The sequence below is a fragment of the Homo sapiens genome, chromosome 14 (genome assembly GCF_000001405.40).
Source record: "Homo sapiens chromosome 14, GRCh38.p14 Primary Assembly".
Taxonomy (NCBI): domain Eukaryota; kingdom Metazoa; phylum Chordata; class Mammalia; order Primates; family Hominidae; genus Homo; species Homo sapiens.
In genome coordinates, this window is record NC_000014.9 from 73981009 (window position 1) to 74005101 (window position 24093).

Below are 24093 nucleotides of genomic sequence, written 5' to 3' on the forward strand. Positions count from 1 at the left end.
GAATCGCTTGAATCTGGGAGGCAGAGGTTGTAGTGACCTGAGGTCGCACTACTGCACTCCAGCCTGGGCGACAGAGCAAGTCTCCGCCTCTCAAAAAATAAATAAATAAATAAATAAATAAGAATAAAAATAAAAATACTGAATTTAACAAAACTCTCTATACTTAAATTTTTGATCTGAATAAGAAGGGAGTTGAAATATATGACTTAGGGCCGGGTGCAGTGGCTCACGTCTGTAATCCCAGCACTTTGGGAAGCCGGGGTGGGTGGAGTTTGAGGCCAGGAGTTTGAGACCAGCCTGGCCAACATGGTGAAACCCTGTCTCCATTAAAAATACAAAAATTAGCCAGGCGTGGTGGTGCATGCCTATAATCCCAACTACTCTGGAGGCTGTGGCAGAAGAATTGCTTGAACCTGGGAGGCGGAGGTTGCAGTGAGCCAACATTGTGCCACTGCACTCCAGTCTGGGTAACAGAAAAAAAAAATGTATATATATATATATGACTTCACCAGGCGTGGTGGCTCATGCCTGTTCCTATAATCCTAGCACTTTGGGAGGCCAAGGAAGGTGGACTGCCTGAGCTCAGGAGTTTGAAACCAAGCCTGGGCAACATGGTGAAACCCTATGTCTACAAAAAAATTTATAAAAATTAGCCGGGTGTGGTGGCACATAACTGTAATCTCAGTTAACTGGGAGGCTAAGGCAGGAGGATTGCTTGAACCTGGGAGGTGGAGGTTGCAGTGAGCCAAGATCGTGCCACTGCACTCAAGCTTGGAAGACAGAGTGAGACTCTGTTTCCAAAAAAAAAAAAAAAATCAAACTTTAAAGTTCCATTATTCTTCTCAAAAACTTTATGCTGAGAGGAAAAAAGCCAGATATACAAAAATAAAAATAAAAACTGTATAATTCCATTTATATGAAAAGAATAAGCAAAACTTATAGTGACAGGAAGCAAATTAGTGATTGGTTGGTTTCAGGGGTGAGGGAAACTCACTATAAAAGAGCATGAGGAAATTTCTATTTCTTGTCAAAACTCATTTAACTGTACACCTAAAATATATAATTTTTTGTTTGTTTGTTTTTTGAGATGCAGTCTCGCTCTGTTGCGCAGGCTGGAGTGCAGTGGTGTGATCTCAGCTTAGTGGAACCTCTGCTTCCTGGGTTGAAGCGATTCTCCTGCCTCAGCCTCCTGAGTAGCTGGGACTACAGGCGTGCGCCACAATGCCCAGCTAATTTTTGTATTTTTAGTAGAGATGAGGTTTCACCATGTTAGCCAGGCTGGTCTCAAACTCCTGACCTCAGGCAATCCACCTGCCTCAGCCTCCCAAAGTGCTGGGATTACAGGTGTGAGCCACCGTGCCCAGCCTAAAATAGATATATTTTATTGTATGTAAGTTTATCTTAATAAAGTTGATTAGAAACGACTTCTGATTCTGCTTTAAAAATCTAAAAGAATGAAGAATATCAGCCAGGTGCAGCAGCTCATGCCTGTAATTCCAGCACTTTGGGAGGCTGAGGCGGGCAGATCACGAGGTCAGGAGATCGAGACCATCCTGGCTAACGCAGTGAAACCCCGTCTCTACTAAAAATACAAAAAATTAGTCGGGTGTGGTGGCAGGTGCCTGTAGTCCCAGCTACTCCGGAGGCTGAGGCAGGAGAATGGCATTAACCTGGGAGGTGGAGCTTGCAGTGAGCCAAGATGGCGCCACTGCACTCCAGCCTGGGTGACAGAGTGAGACTCCATCTCAAAAAATAAAAATAAAAATAAAAAGAATGAAGAATATCCTAGATAGAAAGTACTTTAAATTTTTTAGGAAAAGCTCTATACATTTAAGAGTGATAGTTAAAAATGTAAACAACTAGCTATAACAAGTGGTCAGAGTCATCACAATGCTTTGGCAGTGGTGGAATACTGAAGGTAGTGGTCACATTCCAAAAGGCTAAAAACTCATAAAGTATTCATATAGGGAAAAGGGCAGAATGATCCAAGATGCAGTTTTAAAACTTACCTCAAAGAGCAGAGCCTTGGCTTTGTGTTCTGGCAGTAAGCGTAGTCCTGCTGTTGCCTTTAGGACCACTGGGGTCTTTTTCCAGTGACTTCGGGGGATTGAGTCTTTGGCCACCTCTAAGAGCCCTTGAACGGTCTCAGCACCCTTCAAAAGAGATAACCCGTTCATCTGATGAACGATCCATTTAGTGGCTGGCACTGGTCTATTCTGTCAACATACTTTGTGGGAGCAAGAAGAGGGAGGTGGCATAGGGCTCCAACCTCTCTCTGCTCTGTAGCAGGAGAAACCTAGAGAAGTGGGCCGCTTTGAAGGAGAATCCAGGCCAGGCGCAGTGGTGTCTCACACCTGTAATCCCAGAACTTTGGGAGGCCAAGGTGGGTGGATCATTTGAGGTCAGGAGTTTGAGATCAGCCTGACCAACATGGTGAAACCCCATCTCCACTAAAAAATACAAAAATAAGCCAGGCATGGTGGCACACACCTGTAGTCTCAGCTACTCGGGAGGCTGAGGCAAGAGCATTGCTTGAACCTGGGAGGCAGAGGTTGCAGTGAGTCAAGCCTATGCCACTGCACTACAGCCTGCGCAACAGAGTGACACTCCATCTCAAAAAAAAAAAAAAAAGGAGAATCCATTTCATTTTGACAGTCCTAATAAAAAATTATTATTATTATTATTATTTTTTTTGGGACATTCTTGCTCTGTCACCCAGGCTGGAGTGCAGTGGCATGATCTTGTGATCTTGGCTCACTGCAACCTCCACCTCCCAGGTTCAAGCGATGCTTGTGCCTCAGTCACCCAAGTAGCTGGGATTACAGGCATATGCCACCACACCCAGATAATTTTTGTATTTTTAGTAGAGACAGGGTGTCACCATCTTGGCCAGGCTGGTCTCGAATACCTGACCTCAAGTGATCCACCCACCTCACCCTCCCAAAGTGCTGGGATTACAAGCATGAGCCACCGTGCCTGGCCAAATTATTCTTTTATATTGTGATCATTTTAGTTGATTATCTTTTTCTTTTTTTTAAGACGGAATTTTGCTCTTGTTACCCAGGCTGGAGTGCAACGGCACAATCTCGGCTCACTGCAACCTCTGCCTCCCGGGTTCAAGCGATTCTCCTGCCTCAGCCTCCTGAGTAGCTGGGATTACAGGCATGCGCCACAGCACCTGGCTGATTATTTCATGTTTCTTATATATAAATCAGCTTTAGGATGGTAGAGTGAAGAAAACAGGAGTTAGAGTCAGAAGACTTGCTTGCTAGCCCTGTGGCCTAACTTAGGTCACTTGGCCTTGTTGGGACTTGGTTTCCTCAAGTGTGGGATGGTAGATACGCTGCCTACCACCACTAAACTGTTGTGTGCATGAGGCATAGTGCATGTGGTTACCACACAAGCTGTGGCAGTAATGATGCCATACTTTTGATGATCTCCTAAAGAACATGTCAGGCTTATTCCTGTATCATCATATGGCACACAGTAGATGCTCAATTTGTAATAAATGAAAACCATTATTTTAAATCCACTATTTCCCTGAATGAACTTCTATTCTGATATCTGACTGCCCTTTGATCATTATTGTTAGCAACTACAACACGATCACCTTTTCTAAATGCCAAGTCAGTTTCTAATAATATAGTTGCTTTCAACAGCTCCTAATTTTTCTTTTTTAATTATTTATTTTTAATTAATTAATTTATTTATTTACTATTCAAATATACCCCTGACCCTGGTATTTTTTTTTAATACTTTAAGTTCTAGGGTACATGTGCACAATGTGCAGGTTTGTTTGTTACATATGCATACATGTGCCACGTTGGTGGGCTGCACCCATTAACTCATCATTTACATTAGGTATATCTCCTAATGCTTTCCCTCCCTGCTCCCGCCACCCCACGACAGGCCCCGGTGTGTGATGTTCCCCACCCTGTGTCCTCATTGTTCAATTCCCACCTATGAGTGAGAACATGCGGTGTTTGGTTTTCTGTTCTTGCGACAGTTTGCTCAGAATGATGGTTTCCAGCTTCATACATGTCCTTACAAAGGACATGAACTCATCCTTTTTTTATGGCTACATAGTATTCCATGGTGTATATGTGCCACATTTTCTTAATCTAGTCTATCATTGATGGACATTTGGGTTCGTTCCAAGTCTTTGATATTGTGAATGATGCCTCAATAAACATATGTGTGCATGTGTCTTTATAGCAGCATGATTTATAATCCTTTGGGTATATACCGAGTAATGGGATGGCTGGGTCAAATGGTATTTCTATTCCTAGATCCTTGAGGAATCACCACGCTGTCTTCCACAATGGTTGAACTAGTTTACAGTCCCACCAACAGTGTAAGAGTGTTCCTATTTCTCCACATCCTCTCCAGCACTTGTTGTTTCCTGACTTTTTAATGACCGCCATTCTAACTGGTGTGAGATGGTGTCTCATTGTGGTTTTGATTTGCATTTCTCTGATGGCCAGTGATGATGAGCATTTTTTCATGTGTCCGTTGGCTGCATAAATGTCTTCTTTTGAGAAGTGTCTGTTCATATCCTTTGCCCACTTTTTGATGGGGTTGTTTGATTTTTTCTTGTAAATTTGTTAAGTTCTTTGCAGATTCTGGATATTAGCCCTTTGTCAGGTGGGTAGATTGTAAAAATTTTCTCCCGTTCTGTAGGTTGCCTGTTTACTCTGATGGTAGTTTCTTTTGAACAGCTCCAAATTTTTCTAGTAGATTTGCTATCCATGTGCTACTGAACTAAGAAAATATATCCTCTCGGGGCCAGGTGCAGTGGCTCACACCTGTAATCCCAGCACTTTGAGAGGCTGACATGGGCGGATCACAAGGTCAGGAGTTCAAGACCAGCCTGGCCATCATAGTGAAACCCCGTCTCTACTAAAAATACAAAAATTAGCCGGGCATGGTGGCACATGCCTGTAGTCCCAGCTACTCGGGAGGCTGAGGCAGAAGAATTGCTTGAACCCGCGAGGCAGAGGTTGTAGTAAGCCGAGATCAGGCCACTGCACTCCAGCCTGGGTAACAGAGTGATACTCCGTCAAAAAAAAAAAAAAAAAAGAAAAAGAAGAAAATGTATATATATCCATATATCCTCTCAGTTCTCCAAACTCAAATCATTTTTAACATCAAGCATTTGGGTAATGATTATTCTTGTGACAATGAACAATAAATACCTTTACATTTGCTCCCCAAGTTTAACATTCTGCATTATTCTATTTTATTTCAACATGGCCTCAGACACATAGGATGTAGTATGTTGTAGATGCTCAAATGTGAAATATAGTCGCCACAAACTCTCTATTCATCTTCTACCACCAAAGATTTTTGTCATCATGGGTTGTTGCCTAATTTCTCAAGTATAGATATGGTTCCATCCTGCATCAAGGCACTCTGAAATGGAATTCACTGCTCACCATGCCTTCAACTGCCATGTTTATACATCATACCCTACAGAACTTCATGTTTATCTTCTGCGCTTACATGAACAAATACAACTGATGGCTTCAACTCAAAATTTTAAACAGTAAGTACATAGGGAGTAATCTCTTAAAAGCTAGTGTCATCCTTGCATTACCACAACCAATTTTCTAGCCTTCTTCCACCCAGCCCTCATGAGCGTGGGAAATGTAATTAATTTTATCCAGGAGATTAGCTGAGGAGAGAAAGCTGATCTCACACATGATCTCAATCTCATTAGTGAATAGCATGAAATATTTAACAGCAGTGGTGTGGTCAAGTTATCAAGGCATTGAGAATCTAAACATCAAATCATAAGAAACTCACCTGCTTAGGTTGATCTACAAAAGCAGAAAGTCCTGGCTTCACAGAATCAAAAACTTCCCCTTCTAGAATTGGAAGCTGTCCTATTTTGTCCATGGAACAAAACAGAAGAGAGAGCTGGTTACCAAAAGTTAGGCTGCTTCAGATGCTGGGCTCTGTCTCTGTAAGTTTTCCTATGACTTCCCTGAAGTTATCCCAAATGATCCTAGTTGTGAGGAATGTCTTGCAGGAGTACTGGAAAGAAGGACTAGAGCAACCTCTGAGGGTCCATTTCTGCTACCATTTCTCTGGTGGACACCTAACTCCTCCACCTTTCCCCAGGCTCCATAAGTGACCTGAGGAAAAAACACTGACAATTCAGAAAAAGTTAATCTTCAGGGATTCCTAGCCTCATGTCCAAGGATGGCAGTGAAATTCTCATGTGATCCTTCTCCCAAAACCACTCCCCATATTCTGAATATTATGGATCCCTGGAGTATCCCATGTTTAAAGAGGAAGAACAAATTATAACTATTCTTTTTGAACACATGGGTTTCAGACTACAGACAGCCCAGCTCTCTTCTAATTTCACATTGAATTAAACCATGTGTTCTGGCCAAGCATGGTGACTTACACCTATAATCCCAGTACTTTGGGAGGCTGAGGTGGGAGGATCAATTGAGCCTAGGAGTTTGAGGCCAGCCTGAGCAGGTCTCTATAAAAAAATTTAAAAATGAGCTGGGCATGGTGGCACAAGCCTGTAGTCTCAACAACTCAGGGGGCTGAGGTGGAAGGACTGCTTGAGCCCAGGAGGTCAAGGTTGCAGTGATGTGTCATCATGCCACTGCACTACAGACCGGGCAACAAAGCAAGACCTTGTCTCAAAAAAAAAGTTAAAAAATAAAAACAAAACAAATAAATAAAAATAAATAAATAAACCACATGTTCAATTGTAGTCCAAAGTTCTCTGAAGAAAGACATCCACTAGGTGTGAGATTCTGTAATTCACATAATAAACTCTCAGCATATTTGTTTCTGGGAGGAGATGCTAAAGTGTGGATTTACAGACTCTACTAAGGGTCCCAGTTGCACTTACCTGGCATTTTCTGCACAAAGGTGTAAACATGAATTCGAGTTCCAGTGCTCCCTGCATCAAACATAATTCCATACAAGGTGCTGGCGCTGACATTGATGGGGCACATGGAAGACAGGAAGATACCCTCAAACCAAGTCTGCTGGTTCCTGTGGGAGACAGCGCTGCAAACACAGGATACCACCAGCATGAAAAAGACTGTGCCCCAAGAAGTGGCCATTCTTTTCCCAAGATGTGGCTGGGTGGAGGCTTTTGTTGCAGAAGCAATCCTGCTCGCACACCTGCAGAGGCTTATAGGACAAAGACACACAAGTTAGACCAACTAGCTTTTTTAGTTACACCTGTAAAAGAAGAAACACTCACTCCTGGGCCCAAGGTGTTCCTTCCCTATTCTAATAACCTGTACAACAAGCTAAACCAGGGTGATGTGGGCTCTTAGCACCTTTTCCGAAGGGTATCTAGTTCCAAAAGGAAATTGGAATTGAAGATATATTTTCCCATGCTTTGGTTTTTAAAAATACAGAGTAATTGTACATATTTATGGAATACATGTGATATTTTGATATATGCAGACGATGTGTAAAGATCAAATCAGAGAATCTAGGATATCTATTACAACATTTATCATTGTTTGTGTTGGAAACATTTCAAATCTTCTAGCTACTTTGAAATACACAATAAAATATTGTTAACTATAGTCACCCTACTGAACTATCAAACACTATAACTTATTCCTTCTATTTAATTGTAAGTTTGTACCCATTAACCAAGTTCTCCTAATCTCTCCACACCCCACTAGCCTTCCCAGCCCCTCTGGTAACTGTCATTCTATTCTACTTCCATGAAATCAACTTTTTTAGCTCCCATATATGAGTGAGAACATGCAGTATATATCTTTCTGAGCCTGGCGTGTTTCACTTAACATAATGACCTTTGCTTTTTTTTATTTTATTTTTTTTGAGACGGACTCTCACTCTGTCGCCCAGGCTGGAATGCAGTGGCGCAATCTCAGCTCACTGAAACCTCTGCCTCCCGGGTTCATGTGATTCTCCTGCCTCAGCCTCCTGAGTAGCTGGGATTACAGGGACCCACCACCATGCCCAGCTAATTTTTGTATTTTTAGTACAGACGGGGTTTCACCATGTTGGTCAGGCTGGTCTCGAACTCCTGACCTCGTGATCCACCCGCCTCGGCCTCCCAAAGTGCTGGGATTACAGGCATAAGCCACCACGCCCAGCCACTTTGCTTTTAATTATAGGGTGGGGGCCAGGAACAGTGGCTCCAGCCTATAATTCCAGCACTTTGGGAGGCTCAGGTGGGAGGATTGCTTGAGCCTAGGAGTTCACGACCAGCTTTGGCAACATAGCGAGAGCCCTGTCTCTACAAAAAAATACACAGGCCAGGCGCAGTGGCTCATGCCTCTAATCCCAGCACTTTGGGAGGCCAAGGCAGGTGGATCACGTGAGGTCAGGAGTTCGAGACCAGCCTGGCCAACATGGTGAAACCCTGTATCTACTAAAAATACAAAAATTAGGCCGGGCGCGGTGGCTCATGCCTGTAATCCCAGTACTTTGGGAGGCCGAGGCGGGCGGATCACCTGAGGTCAGGAGTTTGAGACCAGCCTGGCCAACATGGTGAAACCCTGTATCTACTAAAAATACAAAAATTAGGCCAGGCGCGGTGGCTCATGCCTGTAATCCCAGCACTTTGGGAGGCCGAGGCAGGCGGATCACCTGAGGTCAGGAGTTCAAGACCAGCCTGGCCAACATGGTGAAACCCCGCCTCTACAAAAATACAAAAATTAGCTGGGCATGATGGCGGGTGCCTATAATCCCAGCTACTGGGGAGGCTAAGGCAGGAGAATCTCTTGAACCCGGGAGGCAGAGGTTGTAGCGAGCCGAGATCGTGCCACTGCACTCCAGCCTGGGCGACACAGCAAGACTCAGTCTCAAAAAAAAAAAAAAAAAAAAAAAAATTAGCCGGGCTTGGTGGCAGGTGCCTGTAATCCCAGCTACTCAGGAGGCTGAGGCAGGAGAACCACTTGAACCTGGGAAGCTAAGGTTCCAGTGAGCAGACATCGCCCCACTACATTCCAGCTTGGGCAACAGAGCAAGACTTCGTCTCAAAAAAAATAAATAAATATAATAAATAAATTAGCCAGGTATGGTGGCACATGCCTATAGTCCCAGGTACTTGGGAGGCTGAGGTAGGAAGACCACTTGAGTCCAGGAGCTCAAGGTTACAGTGAGCTATGATCATGCCATTGCACTCCAGCCTGGGTGACAAAGCAAGACCCTGTCTCTAAAAATAAAAAATAATAATTGTAGGGTGGCTCTCACATACTCAAAGGCTCTCTGCCACTCTGCTCCTATTGTTGAGTCTAATTTCTTCTTTCCATTTTGATGATTTTCCCTTTAGAACATAAATATCCGTTTCTCCCTCCCTCTTTTCTGACTCCCCATCTTTTTTTGAGACAGGGTCTCACTCTGTCACCCCGGCTGGAGTGCAGTGGCACAATCACGGTTCACTGCAATCATCACCTCCCGGGCTCAAGTGATCCTTCCTCCTTAGCCTCCCGAGTAGTTGGGATTACACGTGTGTGCCTCCATACCTGGCTATTTTTTTTATTTTGGTAGAGATGGGGTTCTGCCATATTGCCCTGGCTGGTCTTGAACTCAGCCTGAGATCCACCTGCCTCAGCCTCCCAAAGTGCTGGGATTCCAGGCATGAGCCACTTCACCCAGCCGGATTTGTTTTACTGGAAAATAATTTTTTAAATGTATAGGGTTTTTTTCCATCATTCTGCAACAAAGCCATTATCATGAGTTTGAATATTATTGAAACCTGTGATAAAAAACATTTGTGGCTGGGTGCAGTGGCTCATGCCTGTAATCTCAGCACTTTGGGAGGCCGAGGCAGGTGGATCATGTAAGGTCAGGAGTTCGAGACCAGCATGACCAATATGGTAAAACCCCATCTCTACTAAAAATACAAAAATGAGCCAGGCATGGTGGCATGCGCCAGTAGTCCCAGCTACTCAGGAGGTTGAGACAGGAGAATTGCTTGAAACCGGGAAGCAGAGGTTGCAGTGAGCCGAAACCATGCCACTGCACTCCAGCCTGGGCGACAGAGTGAGACTGTGTCTCAAAACAAAAACAAAAACAAAAAATCACTTGGTAGTGTTGAATGGAATAATGGCATCCATACTTCACAGTTGCTTTACTAGCAACTTTTTTCCCCCTCTTTTTTTCTGGATGGACATTAAATGAGAAACCAACAAAAACAATTAAGTGCTTTTTGTTTTGGTGATTTGTATCTGGCCTCCTGCAAAGCTCAGACTGTGTCCTATGATCTCATCCGTAAAGGAAAACTGGAGTTCCTCAAGGTCAGGGTTTCTTAATCTTAGCACTGTTTACATTTAGGGGCCAGGAGCAGTGCCTCACACCTGTAATCCCAGCACTTTGGGAGGCCAATGCTGGCGGATCACTTGAGGTTAGGAGTTTGAGATCAGCCTGGCCAACGTGGTGAAACCCCCGTCTCTACTAAAATACAAAAATTAGTTAGTTGTGGTGGTGCATGCTTGTAATCCCAGCTACTCAGGAGGCTGAGGCAGGAACATCACTTGAACCCGGGAGGCGGAGGCTGCAGTGAGTCAAGATCGCACCACTGTGCTCCAGCCTGGAGGACAGAGCAAGAATCTGTCTTAAAAAAAAAAAAACAATAACCAAAAAAAAAAAAAAAAAACAATTAGGGCTTGATGTGGGCGCTGTCCTGTGTAAGGTAGGATGTTTAGCAGTATCCCCAGCCTCTATCCACTAGAGGTCAATAGCACATCCCGCCCCTCCACCCACAACCAGTTGTGATAACCAAAAACGTCTCCAGACATTGCCAGCTGTCTGCTGGCTAATTTTCCTGCTCTGTATATTTACATATAAAATATATTCTATGTATTTTAATTTTATGTTTATTTAAAAATTTTTTTTTAAATAGCCTGTAATCCCAGCTACTCGGGAGCCTGAGGCAGGAGAATCACTTGAACCCGGGAGGTGAAGGGTGCAGTGAGCTGAGATTGCACCATTGCACTCCAGCGTGGGCAACAAGAGCGAAACTCCGTCTCACAAAAAAAAAGTATATATATATATAAAATATTTTCATATATATGTATGTATATAAACGTTTTCTCTGCCATTTTCTTCCGGTATTAATGAATAATGCCGTATCTATCCTCTAAGGTAAAGCTTCCTGACTTGCACTTTATGTACTTTGCACCAAACAGTTTTGGGTCTTCTGATCCAGCTTTCATCTCTGGATCTCTTATGTAAGTCATAGTTTACTGGTTAAGTGACAAGATCTGATTCTAAAGTTCCCATTTCCCAGGCCCTTCAGCTCTAACAAAATACTTCGTATATTTGGAGTACAGATTAAGGATTCTCAATCATCTCAACTTTGTTGAGTATCTAGGGTTTATCAAAATGTCTCCCTCCCCACAGGTGACATATTACACAAAATAAAGCAAATTAGGCCAGGCGTGGTGGCTCACGCCTATAATCCCAGCACTTTGGGAGGCTGAGGTGAGTAGATCACCTGAGGTCAGGAGTTTGAGACCAGCCTGGCCAACATGGTGAAACTCTGTCTCTATTAAAATACAAAAAAAAATTAGGCGTGGTGGCGCATGCCTGTCGCTCCAGTTACTAGGGAGGCTGAGGCAGGAGAATTGCTTGAACCTGGGAGGCAAAGGCTGCAGCAAGCGGAGATTGTGCCACTGAACTCCAGCCTAGGCGACGGAACAAGACTCCGTCTCAAAAAAAAAAAAAAAAAAGCAAATTAAAGTTAATTGCAGCTGGGTGTGGTGGCGCACGCCTATCATCTCAGCATTTTGGGAGGCCGAGGCGGGCGGATCACTTGAGGTCAGGAGTACGAGACCAGCCTGGGTAACAAGGCGAAACCCCGTCTCTGCTAAAAATACAAAAATTAGCCGGGCATGGTGGTACAGGCCTGTAGTCCTAGCTACTTGGGAGGCTGAAGTACGAGAATCGCTTGAACCTGGGAGGCGGAGGTTGCAGTGAGCTGAGACTGTGTCACTGCACTCCAGCATGAGAGATAGAGTGAGATTCTATCTCAAAATAAATACATAAAACAAAGTTAACTATATTTGGAATTTTAAAATATTTAGGCTGGGTAAAGTGGCTCATGCCTGTAATCCCGGCAGTTCGACAGGCCAAGGTGAGTGGATTGTTTGAGGTCAGGAGTTCGAGACCAGCTTGGGCAACATGATGAAACCCCATCTCTACCAAAAGTACAAAAATTAGTTGGACGTGGTGGCATGCACCTGTGGTCCTAGCTACTTGGGAAGCTGGAGGTGGGAGGATCTCTGGATCCCGGGAAGTTGAGGTTCAGTGAGCTGTGACTGCACTACTGCACTTCAGCCTAGGTACAGAGTGAGACCCTGTCTCAATAAATAAAATATTTAAAATAACTAGATTTGGTCTTAGGTACTACCAAAGCAGAGCTGGAACCATCCGTTAGAACACTATTCAAGGCTGAACTTCTATCCTGTAGTTAAGAATAAGAGCTATTGGTTAGGAGAGGAACAGACAAAATTGTTTGACCTTTTACAATCCCAAACAAAGGAAACTTCATCCCAGGAAATCAACCACTGATACAGGATAGCTGCCTGGCCAGGTTCACACTCTGGCTGATTCTTTTACAGCAAATGAGCTAGACATGTAGATCAAACTAAATAACTCGAAACAGAAACAACTCTTCAGAGTCTCTGAGTGTTAACAGATCCTTGCTTTGTCCAACTCTGGGTCCCTCTTTTCCCTCAGAAAGTGAATTAATGGCATTCTAGGCAGCAGCTTTCCTTCCTCTGTGTGACTGCAGTTTCTTCAGGGGTCACCCAAATTTTGTATTAATATATCATTGTAGTTTTTGAAAAACTTCTCCAGCTTCTATTTCTATTAAGTAAATATTTGTTTTTCTTCCAGAGATTTCAAAGGTGAAAAAAAACATCCTAGGTATCTGTTTTCACGAAAAAACAAACAAAAAAAAACAAACAAAAAACCCTGCAGAGTCATACTAGTTGTTCAGTGTAAAACCAAACAATAGATTTTAGAGAAAGCAAAGGATGAACAAATAGAATGCCCCTTTCAGCTCTCAGTAACTACATTCTAAACCACTTGCAATCGCACTTTTAAGATTAGTTATTTTAAAATGGCATTAGGCATTGTCTTATTTTTTTAAACTTTATTTATTTATTTTGAGATGGAGTTTCACTCTGTTGCCCAGGCTGGAGTGCAATGGTGCAATCTTGGCTCACTGCAACCTCTGCCTCCTGGAATCAAGAAAGTCTCTTGCCTCAGCCTCCCTAGAAGCTAGGATTACAGGCGCATACCACCACACCTGGCTAATTTTTTGTATTTTTAGTAAAGATGGGGTTTCACCATGTTGGCCAGGCTGGTTTCGAACTCCTGACCTCAGGTGATCCACTCGCCTCAGCCTCCCAAAGTCCTGGGATAACAGGCACAAGCCTCCGCACCGAGCAATGTAAGCCATTTTAAAATAACTAATGTGCCAGGTGCAGTGGCTCACGCCTGTAATCCAGCACTTTGGGAGGCCGAGGTGGGTGGATCATGAGGTCAGGAGTTCGAAACCAGACTGGTCAACATGGTGACACCCCATCTCTACTAAAAACACAAAAATTAGCCAGGCGTGGTGGCAGGCACCTGTAATCCCAACTACTTGGGAGGCTGAGTCAGGAGAATCGCTTGAACCCGGGAGGCGGAGGTTGCAATGAGATAAGATTGCACCAGCACTCCAGCCTGGGCGACAGAGCGAGACTCCATCTCAAAAAAAAAAAAAAAGTCTTACATTTATAGAATGACATCCTATTTTACAGAACCCGAGTCTGCACAGCTTGCTCGTTCACTATGTTAAAATCTTTGCTCAAATATGTCAGCTTCTCAGTGAGACCTTCCTTGTCTACCTTATTTAAAATTATAACCCATCTGACCACATCATGTTTTCCTATCTTCCTTTTCTGTTTATTTTTCTCCACAGGACTTTTTACCATCTAACACATTATATAATTTACTTTTGTTTATTTTCATATTTCCTGTTTCCTGCCACCTTTACCCACTATGTGAACTATACATAGCCAGGCAGAATTTTTTTTTTTTTTTTTAAATACAGAGTCTTGCTCTATCACCCAGGCTGGAGTGCAGTTGTGCAATCTCACCTCACTGCAACCTCCGCCTCCCGGGTTCAAGCGATTCTCATGCCTCAGCCTCCCAAGCAGCCAGGATTACAAGCATGTGCCGCCGCGCCTGGCTAATTTTGTATTTTTAATAGAGACAGGGTTTTGCCATGTTGGCCAGGCTGTTCTCAAACTTCTGGTCTCAAGTGATCCACCCGCCTCAGCCTCCCAAAATGCTAGGATTATAGGCATGAGCCACCTTGGCTGGCCCGTAAGCAGGAATTTTTATCTGTTTTGTTTTTTATGTGTTCCTGGTGCTGGAATGGTGGTGTGAGCACACAGTAGATGTTGAATGAATACTCCAAAGGGATAAACAATAATACAGTAACTCAGGCACTAGATCTCACCCATTTAATAAAAATGTAACAGCTGATCGGGCACAGTGGCTCACGCCTGTTAAGTGTGCCACTGCACTCCAGCCTCAGTGATAGAGAGAGACTCTATCTCAAATAATAATAATAATAATAATAATAATAATAATAGCTGACTGCTTTCCAAAAAATTACCCAGCCCCTGAAAAAAATCACAATTCCAAGCTTCAGTGAAGGTTTTCCCCACATTTGTTATATAAAGGTGACATTTATCCAAATGTGTCAAGTTTTATATGCTACTCAAAATAGTGCAGATAGGCGTACTTTTTGTAGACTAGGGAGGTATGTATACGTCAGTACATTTAAATCTACTCCTTTCACAGTTGGTCTTCTCATTTTCTCTTGCTCACTATCTCTTATTCACCCCCCAACAAAGCCCTGTTTCCAATTCTTTTTGTTGAGACTCTGGTGCCAGCCAGTGTTTGTCACTATCTCCATCTCCTTCTATGGTCTTTTGTGTCTCTTTATACCTGGAGTAGACATGAATCCTCCCCACTCAGCTTTCCCAGAACGTCACACTCTGGCTTCCCTTCTTCCATGTCCCCGGAAGCCTGAGAGACCACAATCCCAGAGGACCTGGGCCCCATTCATGTGCTCACCTGCTTGTGTCTGCCGGTTCCCTGAGTCCTTGCTTTCGCTGCAGGTTGCCTTTTGCTCTTTGCTCCTGTTTCAGCTCTTCTTAATCAAGCGAGCCTCATGAACCGCATTCACCTTTGTGCCAGTTTGCAACTAACAGTGTGGCATTTTGCTAACTCACTCCCTTCTCTATCCTTCCCTCCTCCCTTACTCTCTTTTTCTCTGAGTACACAATTCGTTCATCTACTTTTATCATAGTTAACTTCCAACTAGTAGGATTATCGCTCATAGGGCGGAAGCTGCTCAGCAACTCATTTCTGTGTTTTTGTTAGCCAAATAGAAAAGTTAATAGCACTTCTCAATACCTTCCATCCCTGACACAGAATTTAGAAACCTGGATGGAACATAACTTGGTCTCTTAAAAAAAAAAAAAAAAAACTTTAGAAACCTGGGCATTCACCTGTCTAGTTAATAAGCATGTACTGAGTATCTAATATATACCAGGCACTGTGCTAGATTCTTGATATATACAGAGGAATCCGATATAGAAGAAATTTCAGCTTACTGGAGAAAACAGGGCTGGGCACAGTGGCTCTTGTCTGTAATCTTAGCACTTTGGAAGGTCGAGGCAGGAGGATTACTTGAGGTCAGGATTTCAAGACCACCTTGGGCAACACAGTGAAGCTCTGTCTCTACAAAAATAAAAAAATTATCTGGGCATGGTGGCATGCACCTGTAGTCCCAGCTACTCAGAAGGCTAAGGTGGGAGGATCGCTTGAGCCTAAGAGGTCAAGGCTGCATGAACCATGATTATATCACTGCATTCCAGCCTGGGCTACAGAGCAAGAACCTGTCTCAAAAAACAAACTAACAAAACCCAGACAAGCAAACCAACGACTGTAATGTACTGTGATAAGTTCTCTGACAGAAATGCACACAAAGTGCTCTAGGAACAGACATAAGGGACAAGAAACTTGGCTTGGAAGGGGAAAGGTGAAGGTGGGATGGGACTGGGAAGCTTCTTGAGGGATGAGAGGTAGGAATTATCCTGGGAAAATGACACAAGGAGGATTCTGAGAACTTCAAGTATTAACAGCTTGGTACAGCTGGAATATAGAGGTGTACCAGAATAAAGACAGCCAGAGTGAGGGAAAATGGCTCTGGAAGCAGAGAATCAGATTTCAAAAGGAGTGGACTTGTTTTCCTTTCCCATAGTGAGATTGATTGTTAGTTATGTCTTTCTGTTGACTCCCTAAGCAAATATCATTATTGATTGACTTGGATAAAATAATACAGTATCTCACAACAGTGGAAAATTGGATAGGTGATTAGAAAGGTCCACCAAAAGGTCCAAAAAGAGTGAAATGTAAAAGCTCCCACTGACAATTCATCTGAGCTCCACAGCAAAGCTAGCCTTAACAAGTTAAAAATTAAACATAAGGCAAGTTTAAAATGTAACTAGAATGAAATTTTTAAACAGTAAGCTGAACTATGGAACCAATATAGTTAAACCACCCAGTGCATAAGTAAGCCAAGCCAAGCAAAACCAAGGTAGGTCTAATAAGCTAAGTTCAGGACAGGCTGCAGCAAAGTGAGCAATGCCTTATTTGAGGATATAACTTATAATACAAAGGGCCACAGCCCTGACACACCTTGCTATCTGAAGGATGTCTAAGGTGGGTGGTGCATGGTATCTTTTGTATTACCAAAGACAGGTATTAATATTAGGCCTGGAACATGCTGGACACCAGTAATTGAATCCCAAATGGACTTGGTACAATTAGGCTAATGGAATATGCAGGCAGAAGCAATAGGGCAAGGAGTACCCCCTTTCCCAGTGTTCCACTACGGCCTAGGTATTACATGTCCAACTCCCAATTCCCCTCCAAACTAGACCATGGATAGGGCATGTGAAGCCTATTTGTTCCTATATTCATTCATTCATTTGGCCATGTGTTACAGGCAGAAAGAATGAGGGTCGTGACCAACTCAGTATGCCATTGGAGGTTATATGAGCAAACAGAAAACTGTTCTCATGAAAGCAGGATGTTGGAAAACTGACAAACTGCGTCTGCCACCAGAAGGGGTGCTGAGGGCAGTCACACCCCCAGCGCAGTGTTCCTTGCAATTATCTATAGGAGCATCTGAAGCCTGTTGTACAAAGAAAGCAATTATGTGTACCTGTGATAAATCTAGCAGCTGACCAACTGTTACCTCTCCCTCCCTGCTCTTTCTATCTAATAAATACGAAGGGCGGTAGAAGCTCAGGGCTGCCTTTGCTCACTAGAAGCAAGGAGCTCCCTGACCCCTTCTTTCGAAACAGATCCTTTTGTCTTTGTCTTCATTTCTGCGTTTGTCCCCTTCATTCAACCTGTAGTAACCGACAGTGACAGCCATTCCAGAAATTAGCAATTTCTTACTGCTGCTTACAAGTACAGCACACAAAGATAAATCATCTTAGAAACTTTAAGAAACCCTAAGAAACTATACTAAGTTGGAAAAAAAAAATACATGTCCATAAATTACCTCTATAAAGTGAAAATGTGTCAAGCAGCACAGTTACTATGCTCTGAAACTTCAAAGCTGGGATGATGGAGAAGGCTCTGTGAAAAAGGTCGTATCTGAGGAGGGTCCTGAGGAGGGAAATGAATTAGGACAGGCAAGGAGTGCTTTTCAGGAATAAAACCATGAATCAAGACACGGATGTGGAAAAGGGATGGGGGCCCCTGAGGAACAGTGAATGGATCAGTTTGACCAACTATAGTAGAAAATAAAGTTGAAGAGATAGATTGAGGTCACATAGTAGAGGACACCAAATACTCAGCTAAGGAGTTTGGACTTTACTCTGCAGGTGATAGGAAGCCACTGAAGATATTGAACTAGGGAGTATCCAAATACGAATCTGGTAGTTACATGTAAGGACTGCAGTCAGGAGCCTTGTCAGGACCACTCAATTGCTTAATTCTACTAATGCTTACTGATGCCTACTAACTGCTAGGTGCCAGAAAAGTAAAGGTGAGGAAAACAGATCTTTTTATTCAAGATGCTGAGTCTGGCAGAGGTGGCAGACATATATAAAAATAACCGTAACTTTTTAAACTAAGCATAAAAATGGTAAAGAAGCTAGGCGCAGTAGCTCACGCCTGTAATCCCAGCACTTTGGGAGGCCAAAGTGGGTGGATTACCTCAAGTTAGGAGTTCGTGACCAGCCTGGCCAACGTGGTGAAACCCCATATCTACTAAAAATACAAAAATTAGCCAGGTGTGGTGGCATGCGCCTGTAATCCCAACTACTCAGGAGACTGAGGAACGAGAATTGCTTGAACTCAGGACGCAGAGGTTGCAGTGAGCCAAGATCACAGGATTGCACCCCAGCCTGGGTGACAGAGTAAGACTCTGCCCCCCACCCCCCCAAAAAAAACAAAGGTAGGCCGGGCACGGTGGCTCACTCCTGTAATCCCAGCACTTTGGGAGGCCAAGGTGGGCGGATCATGAGGTCAGGAGTTTGAGACCAGACTGACCAACATGGTAAAACCGTCTCTACTAAATATACAAAAATTAGCCAGGCGCAGTGGCGCGTGCCTGTAATCCCAGCTACTCAGGAGGGTGAGGCAGGAGAATTGCTTGAACCTGGCAGGCGGAGGTTGCAGTGAGCCAAGATCAAGCCACTGCACTCTAGACTGGGCAACAGGGCGAGACTCCGTCTCAAAAAAAAAGGTAAAGGGCCGGGCGCAGTAGCTTACACCTGTAATCCCAGCACTTGGGGAGGCCAAGGCGGGCGGATCATGAGGTCAGGAGTTCCAGACCAGCCTGACCAACATGATGAAACCCCATCTCTACCAAAAATTTAAAAATTAGCCAGGCATGGTGGCATGCACCTGTAATCCCAGCTATTCAGGGGTCTGAGGCAGGAGAATCACTTGAACCCAGGGGGCGGAGGTTGCAGTTAGCCGAGGTCGCGTCACTGCACTCCAGCCTGGGCGACAGAGCGAGACTCCATCTCAAAAAAAAAAAAAAAAAAGGTAAAGGAACAAAAACACAGGACTAACTCCCTAGAGGATTTGGAAACGCATCAAGAAAAGACATTTGAGACCAGGCACAGTGGCTCACGTCTGTAATCCTAGCACTTTGGGAGGCCAAGGCAGGCAGATTGCTTGAGCTCAGGAGTTCGAGACCAGCCTGGGCAACATGATGAAACCTCATCTCCACCAAAAATACAAAAACTAGTCAGGCATGGTGGAATGCACCTGTAGTCCCAGCTATTTGGGAGGCTGAGGTGGGAGGATTGCTTGAGCCCCCTGGGAGGTGGAGGTTGCTGTGAGTTGAGATCGCACCACTGTACTCCAGCCTGGGTGACAAGACTGAACCCCGTCTCAATTTAAAAAATATATATATAAGCATATATAAAAGAAATGGCTGGGCACAGTGGCTCACGCCTGTAATCCCAACACTTTGGGAGGCCGAGGAGGGTGGATCACCTGAGGTCAAGAGTTCAGGACCAGCCTGGCCAATATGGTGAAACCCCATCTCTACTAAAAATACAAAAATTGTCCAGGCGTGGTGGTGTGCCTGTAATCCCAGCTACTCAGGAGGCTGAGGTGGGAGAATTGCTTGAACCTGGGAGGCGAGGCTGCAGGGAGCCGAGATCATGCCACTGCACTCCAGCCTGGGCAACAGAGCAAGAACCTGTCTCAAAACAACAACAAAAAAAATGAAATGACATGTAAGCAATCATGAAAAATGGACAGAAATAACTACAGAAATAATAGAGACCAGATGTGTATAAAGACCAGAGAGATTAGAAAAAGATGATAGGAAAAGTATCGTTTGATTTCATTTAAAAATTTCCTCAAGAGCCATATGGAGTGGCACGTGACCATAGTCCCAGGTACTCAGGAGGCTGAGGAAAGAGGGTCACTTCAGCCAAGGAGTGCAAGTCCAGCTTGGACAACACAGTGAGACCCTATCCGTATAAAAATTAAAAATAGCGAGGCCAGGTATGATGACTCATGCCTGTAATCCTAGCACTTTGGGAGGCCAAAGTGGGAGGATTGCTTGACCCCAAGAGTTTGAGACTAGCCTGGGCAACATAGTGAAATGCTATCTCTACAAAATATTAAAAAATTAGCAGGGTGTGTCTGGGCGCAGTGGCTCATGCCTGTAATCCCAGCACTTTGGGAGGCCAAGGCAAGCGGATCACGAGGTCAAGAGATCGAGACCATCCTGGTTAACACGGTGAAATCCCGTCTCTACTAAAAATACAAAAAATTAGCTGGGTGTGATGGCGGGTGCCTATAGTCCCAGCTACTCGGGAGGGTTAGGCAGGAGAATGACGTGAACCTGGGAGGCCGAGCTTGCAGTGAGCCGAGATTGCACCACTGCACTCCAGCCTGGGCAACAGAGCAAGACTCCATCCCAAAAAAAAAGAAAAAAATTAGCCAGGCATGGTGGCGGGCACCTGTAGTCCGAGCTACTCGGGAGGCTGAGGCAGGAGAATCGCTTGAACCTGGGAGGCGGAGGTTGCAGTGAGCCGAGATCATGCCACTACACTCCAGCCTGGCGAGAGAGCAAGACCTCATCTCAAAAAAAAAAAAAAAAAAAAAAAAAAAAAAAAAAAGCCAGGCATGGTGGTACACACCTGTAGTCTCAACTATTCAGGAGGCTGAGGTATGAGGATCATTTGAGCCTGAGAAGTGGAGGCTGAGGTGAACTGTGATTGCACGGCACCACTGTACTCCAGCCTATGCGACAGAGTGAGACCCTGTCTCAAATAATAATAATTAAAAGCCAATGTCCTCAAGAATTTTTTATATGAATTTGAGAAACAAAAAGTAGAAAACTAGTGAAAGAGGATATAGAAGAAGAGGGTTAGCATTTAATGCAGAGGATAAAGATTGTGGTCAAAGAAACATAATCTGAGATTTTAAAAAAATAGTAACCAATATTTACGGAGATCTTAGTAGATGCCAAGCATGATGTTAAGTATTCTACATAGATTAGCTCATTTAATCTCACATTACTGCTCTGTGAGTTAGGTGCTATTATTAAGATTCCCATTTTATAAATGAGAAAACTGAGCTTAGAGAAACTAAGTATCTTAAGACCACATCGTAGTTAAATGAAATGAGCCAGAAATCAAACCCAGATGGTTTAATTCCAGAGCCACAGTCTTAACTAGTAGGCCACCCAAGAAGGATTATCTAACAGGGCTCTTGGAAAAGACAGATATGGGAGTGGGGAGGCGAGTGTAGAGCAGAGAATGGTCTGAGATGAGGCTGGAAAGTGAGACTTCCATCAGGATGTGAAAGTCTTACAGCAGTCTGACCTTCTTACATAAAATCAAGAGCTTATTTATTTATTTATGTAGAGATGGAGTCTCACTATGTTACCCAGGCTGGTCTTGAACTCCTGGCCTCATGCAATCCTCTAGCCTCAGCCTCCTGAATAGCTGGGATAACAGGGTTGAGCCACTGTGCCCAGCTAATCAAGAGATTTTGAAGATCTTAATTTCCTGCTGTTGAATACATTTCCAGAATCCGACCATTTCTGACCACTTCCATTGCTACCACCTTCGCCCAAGCCACTATCATCTTTCATGTGATTTGCTAATATTGTCCTAACAGATCTTCCTGCTTTTATCCTCACTCCCCTGGAGTTTGTCTCCTTTTAACAAACAACCAAAGTCATCCTTTAATATAAATTAGAGTATGTCTCTGTTTTATGCAAAATCCAGCACTGGCTCCCCATTTCAGAGAAACAAGGTCCTGAAAATAGCCTTCTGCTTCCATCCCCACTACATCTCTGACCCCATCTACTAATAGTTTTCACCTTACTCTCCCCCAACACTGACCTCTGCGCTTATTCACTCATGCCCCTGCCTTAGGGCCTTCGCTCTAAGCTGTCCCCACTGCCTAGAAATTCTTTTCCTATATATCCACTTGATGAATTCCTGCAACTCCTTCAAATACTTGTTTAAAAATCACTTTCTTATTGAGATCTACTTAATACTATAACCTCTCACCTTCACATGCTCCCACCTCTACCTGCTTTCTCAACTCCCCTTACTCTGATCCACTTTTCTTTTTTCCACACCACTTATCACATTCTAACATACTGGAAAGCTTACTGATATTTATTGTCTGTGTTCCTCTGATAGAATATAAGCTCCTCAAGAGCAGAAATCTTTTTGTTTACTGGTGTAACCCAAGAACCTAGAAGAGCGTCCAAGGTGGAATTCAATAAAAACTGACAATAGAAATGGGCTAGGGTTTCTCTCAGCCTTAGCGCCATTTTCTTGGAAACCTCTGCATCATGAGAGCTAAGTGGAGGAAAAAGCGAATGTGCAGTCTGAAGCACAAAAGAAGAAAGATGAGGCAGAGGTCCAAGTAAACCGCTAGCTTGTTGCACCGTGGAGGCCACACAGGAGCAGAAACATGGAATGCCAGATGCTGGGGATGCTGGTACAAGTTGTGGGACTGCATGCTATTGTGTAGAGCTTGTCTCAATGGATCCAGAACTTCACCGCCCTCTGATCGCTGATCACCTCTGAGACCCACCTTGCTCATAACCAAAACTGCCCATGTTGGTCCTCTGCCCTGGACCTGGGACATTCTGGACTATTTCTGTGTTTACTTGTGGCCGAGTATAACAACCATACGATAAATCATCTCTTCTGCTGTCTTAGCTGAAGAATCAAAAAAAAAGAAAAAGAAAAAAAGAAAAAAAAAATTGGCTGGGCATGGTGCCTCATGCCTGTAAATCCCAACACTTGGGAGGCTAAGGCAGGAGGATCACTGGAGCCCAGGAGTTTGAGACCAGCCTGGGCAACACAGCAAAACCCTATTAAAAAAAATTTTTTTTTAATGAAAAAATTAGCCAGGCATGGCAGTGCACACTTGCAGTCCCAGCTACTTGGGAGGCTGAGGCAGAAGGATCACTTAAGCCCAGGAGTTCGAAGCTGCAGTGAGCTAGAATCATGCCACTGCACTCCAGCATGGGTGACAGAGCAAGACCCTGTCTCAAAAAATAAATTAATTAAGTAAATAAATACATGTATTAAGCAATAAAAATATTTATTATCTCATCCCTTTTTTATTTTTTTGAGACAGAGTCTCCCTCTATTGCCCAGGTTGCAGTGCAGTGGCGTGATCTTGGCTCACTGCAACCTCTGCCTCCTGGGTTCAAGTGATTCTCCTGTCACAGCCTCCGAAGTAGCTGGGACTACAGGCACCCCCCACCACACCCGGCTAATTTTTGTATTTCTAGTAGAGACGGGGTTTCGCCATATTGGCCAGGCTCAAACTCCTGACCTCAGGTGATCCACCTGCGTTGGCCTCCCAAAGTGCTGAGATTACAGGTGTGAGCCATTGCGCCCGGCCTATCTCATTATTTCTGTGGTTTGGGACTCTGAGAGTGGTTTAATTAGACAGTTTTGGCTCTGAGGCTCTCATGAGATTGCAGTCAAGATGTAGGCTGGGGCTGCAGTCAATCTGAAGGCTTGACTAGGCCTGGAAGACCCACCTCCAAGATGGCTCACTCAATGGTTGGCAAGTTGATGCCAGCTGTGGGCAGGAAGTCTCAGTAGCTCCCCGTGTAGATCCTCCATAGGGCTGCTTGAATGTCTTTATAACCCAGTGGCTGGCTTCCTCCAGAGCAGTCAATCCAAGAAGAGCAGGGCAGAAGCAGTAATGTCTTTTATGACTTTGTTTTGGAAGTCATACACTATCATATCCCTATATTCTAATGCTCATACAGACCAACCCTGACGAACTGTAAAAGGGGACTACACAAAGGCATGAATATTAGGAGGTGAGCATCACTGGGGGGCATCTTGGAGGCTGGCTACTGTAAGCTGTAACCAGTATTTGTGTAATATTTTGTGGGGTTTTTTTTCCAGTATACCATATATATATTTCAATAAACACATCTTACATACTTCTTATTTTAGGACCTGCATGTTATTCCAATGATATTAACTGTTTTTGTTCATTTGTTTATTCTTAGAAAAAAATAATATA

General features: G+C 43.9%; 1 protein-coding gene and 1 pseudogene across 14 annotated transcripts in view, besides 1 other annotated feature; one reads left to right on the plus strand and one right to left on the minus strand.

Annotated features, from left to right (window-relative positions):
* ENTPD5 (ectonucleoside triphosphate diphosphohydrolase 5 (inactive)) overlaps positions 1 to 24093 on the minus strand; it is a 63960-nt gene that overhangs the window by 25680 nt on the left and 14187 nt on the right. For 9 of the 14 annotated variants that reach the window (NM_001382258.1, NM_001382262.1, NM_001382260.1 and 6 more), the window contains 3 exons: positions 6878 to 7164; positions 5806 to 5885; positions 2010 to 2153 (listed from right to left, as the gene is read on the minus strand). In NM_001382258.1, coding sequence (NP_001369187.1) covers positions 2010 to 2153; positions 5806 to 5885; positions 6878 to 7094 — 441 coding nt within the window. In that variant the 5' untranslated portion in view covers positions 7095 to 7164. Of the gene's footprint in view, positions 1 to 2009; positions 2154 to 5805; positions 5886 to 6877; positions 7165 to 15641; positions 15769 to 23596; positions 23718 to 24093 lie in introns of all 14 variants that reach the window. The other 5 variants (NM_001330189.2, NM_001321984.2, NM_001382257.1 and 2 more) reach the window with 2 other exon arrangements.
* Positions 11334 to 11835: an enhancer, noted in NCBI's record as "H3K4me1 hESC enhancer chr14:74459045-74459546 (GRCh37/hg19 assembly coordinates)". NCBI's record gives its function as "activates a minimal SCP1, AML or CMV promoter by ChIP-STARR-seq in naive H9 embryonic stem cells {active_cell/tissue: H9 hESC(naive)}" and the evidence as "EXISTENCE:reporter gene assay evidence [ECO:0000049][PMID:30033119]".
* Positions 22348 to 22773, plus strand: RPL41P4 (ribosomal protein L41 pseudogene 4; annotated as a pseudogene).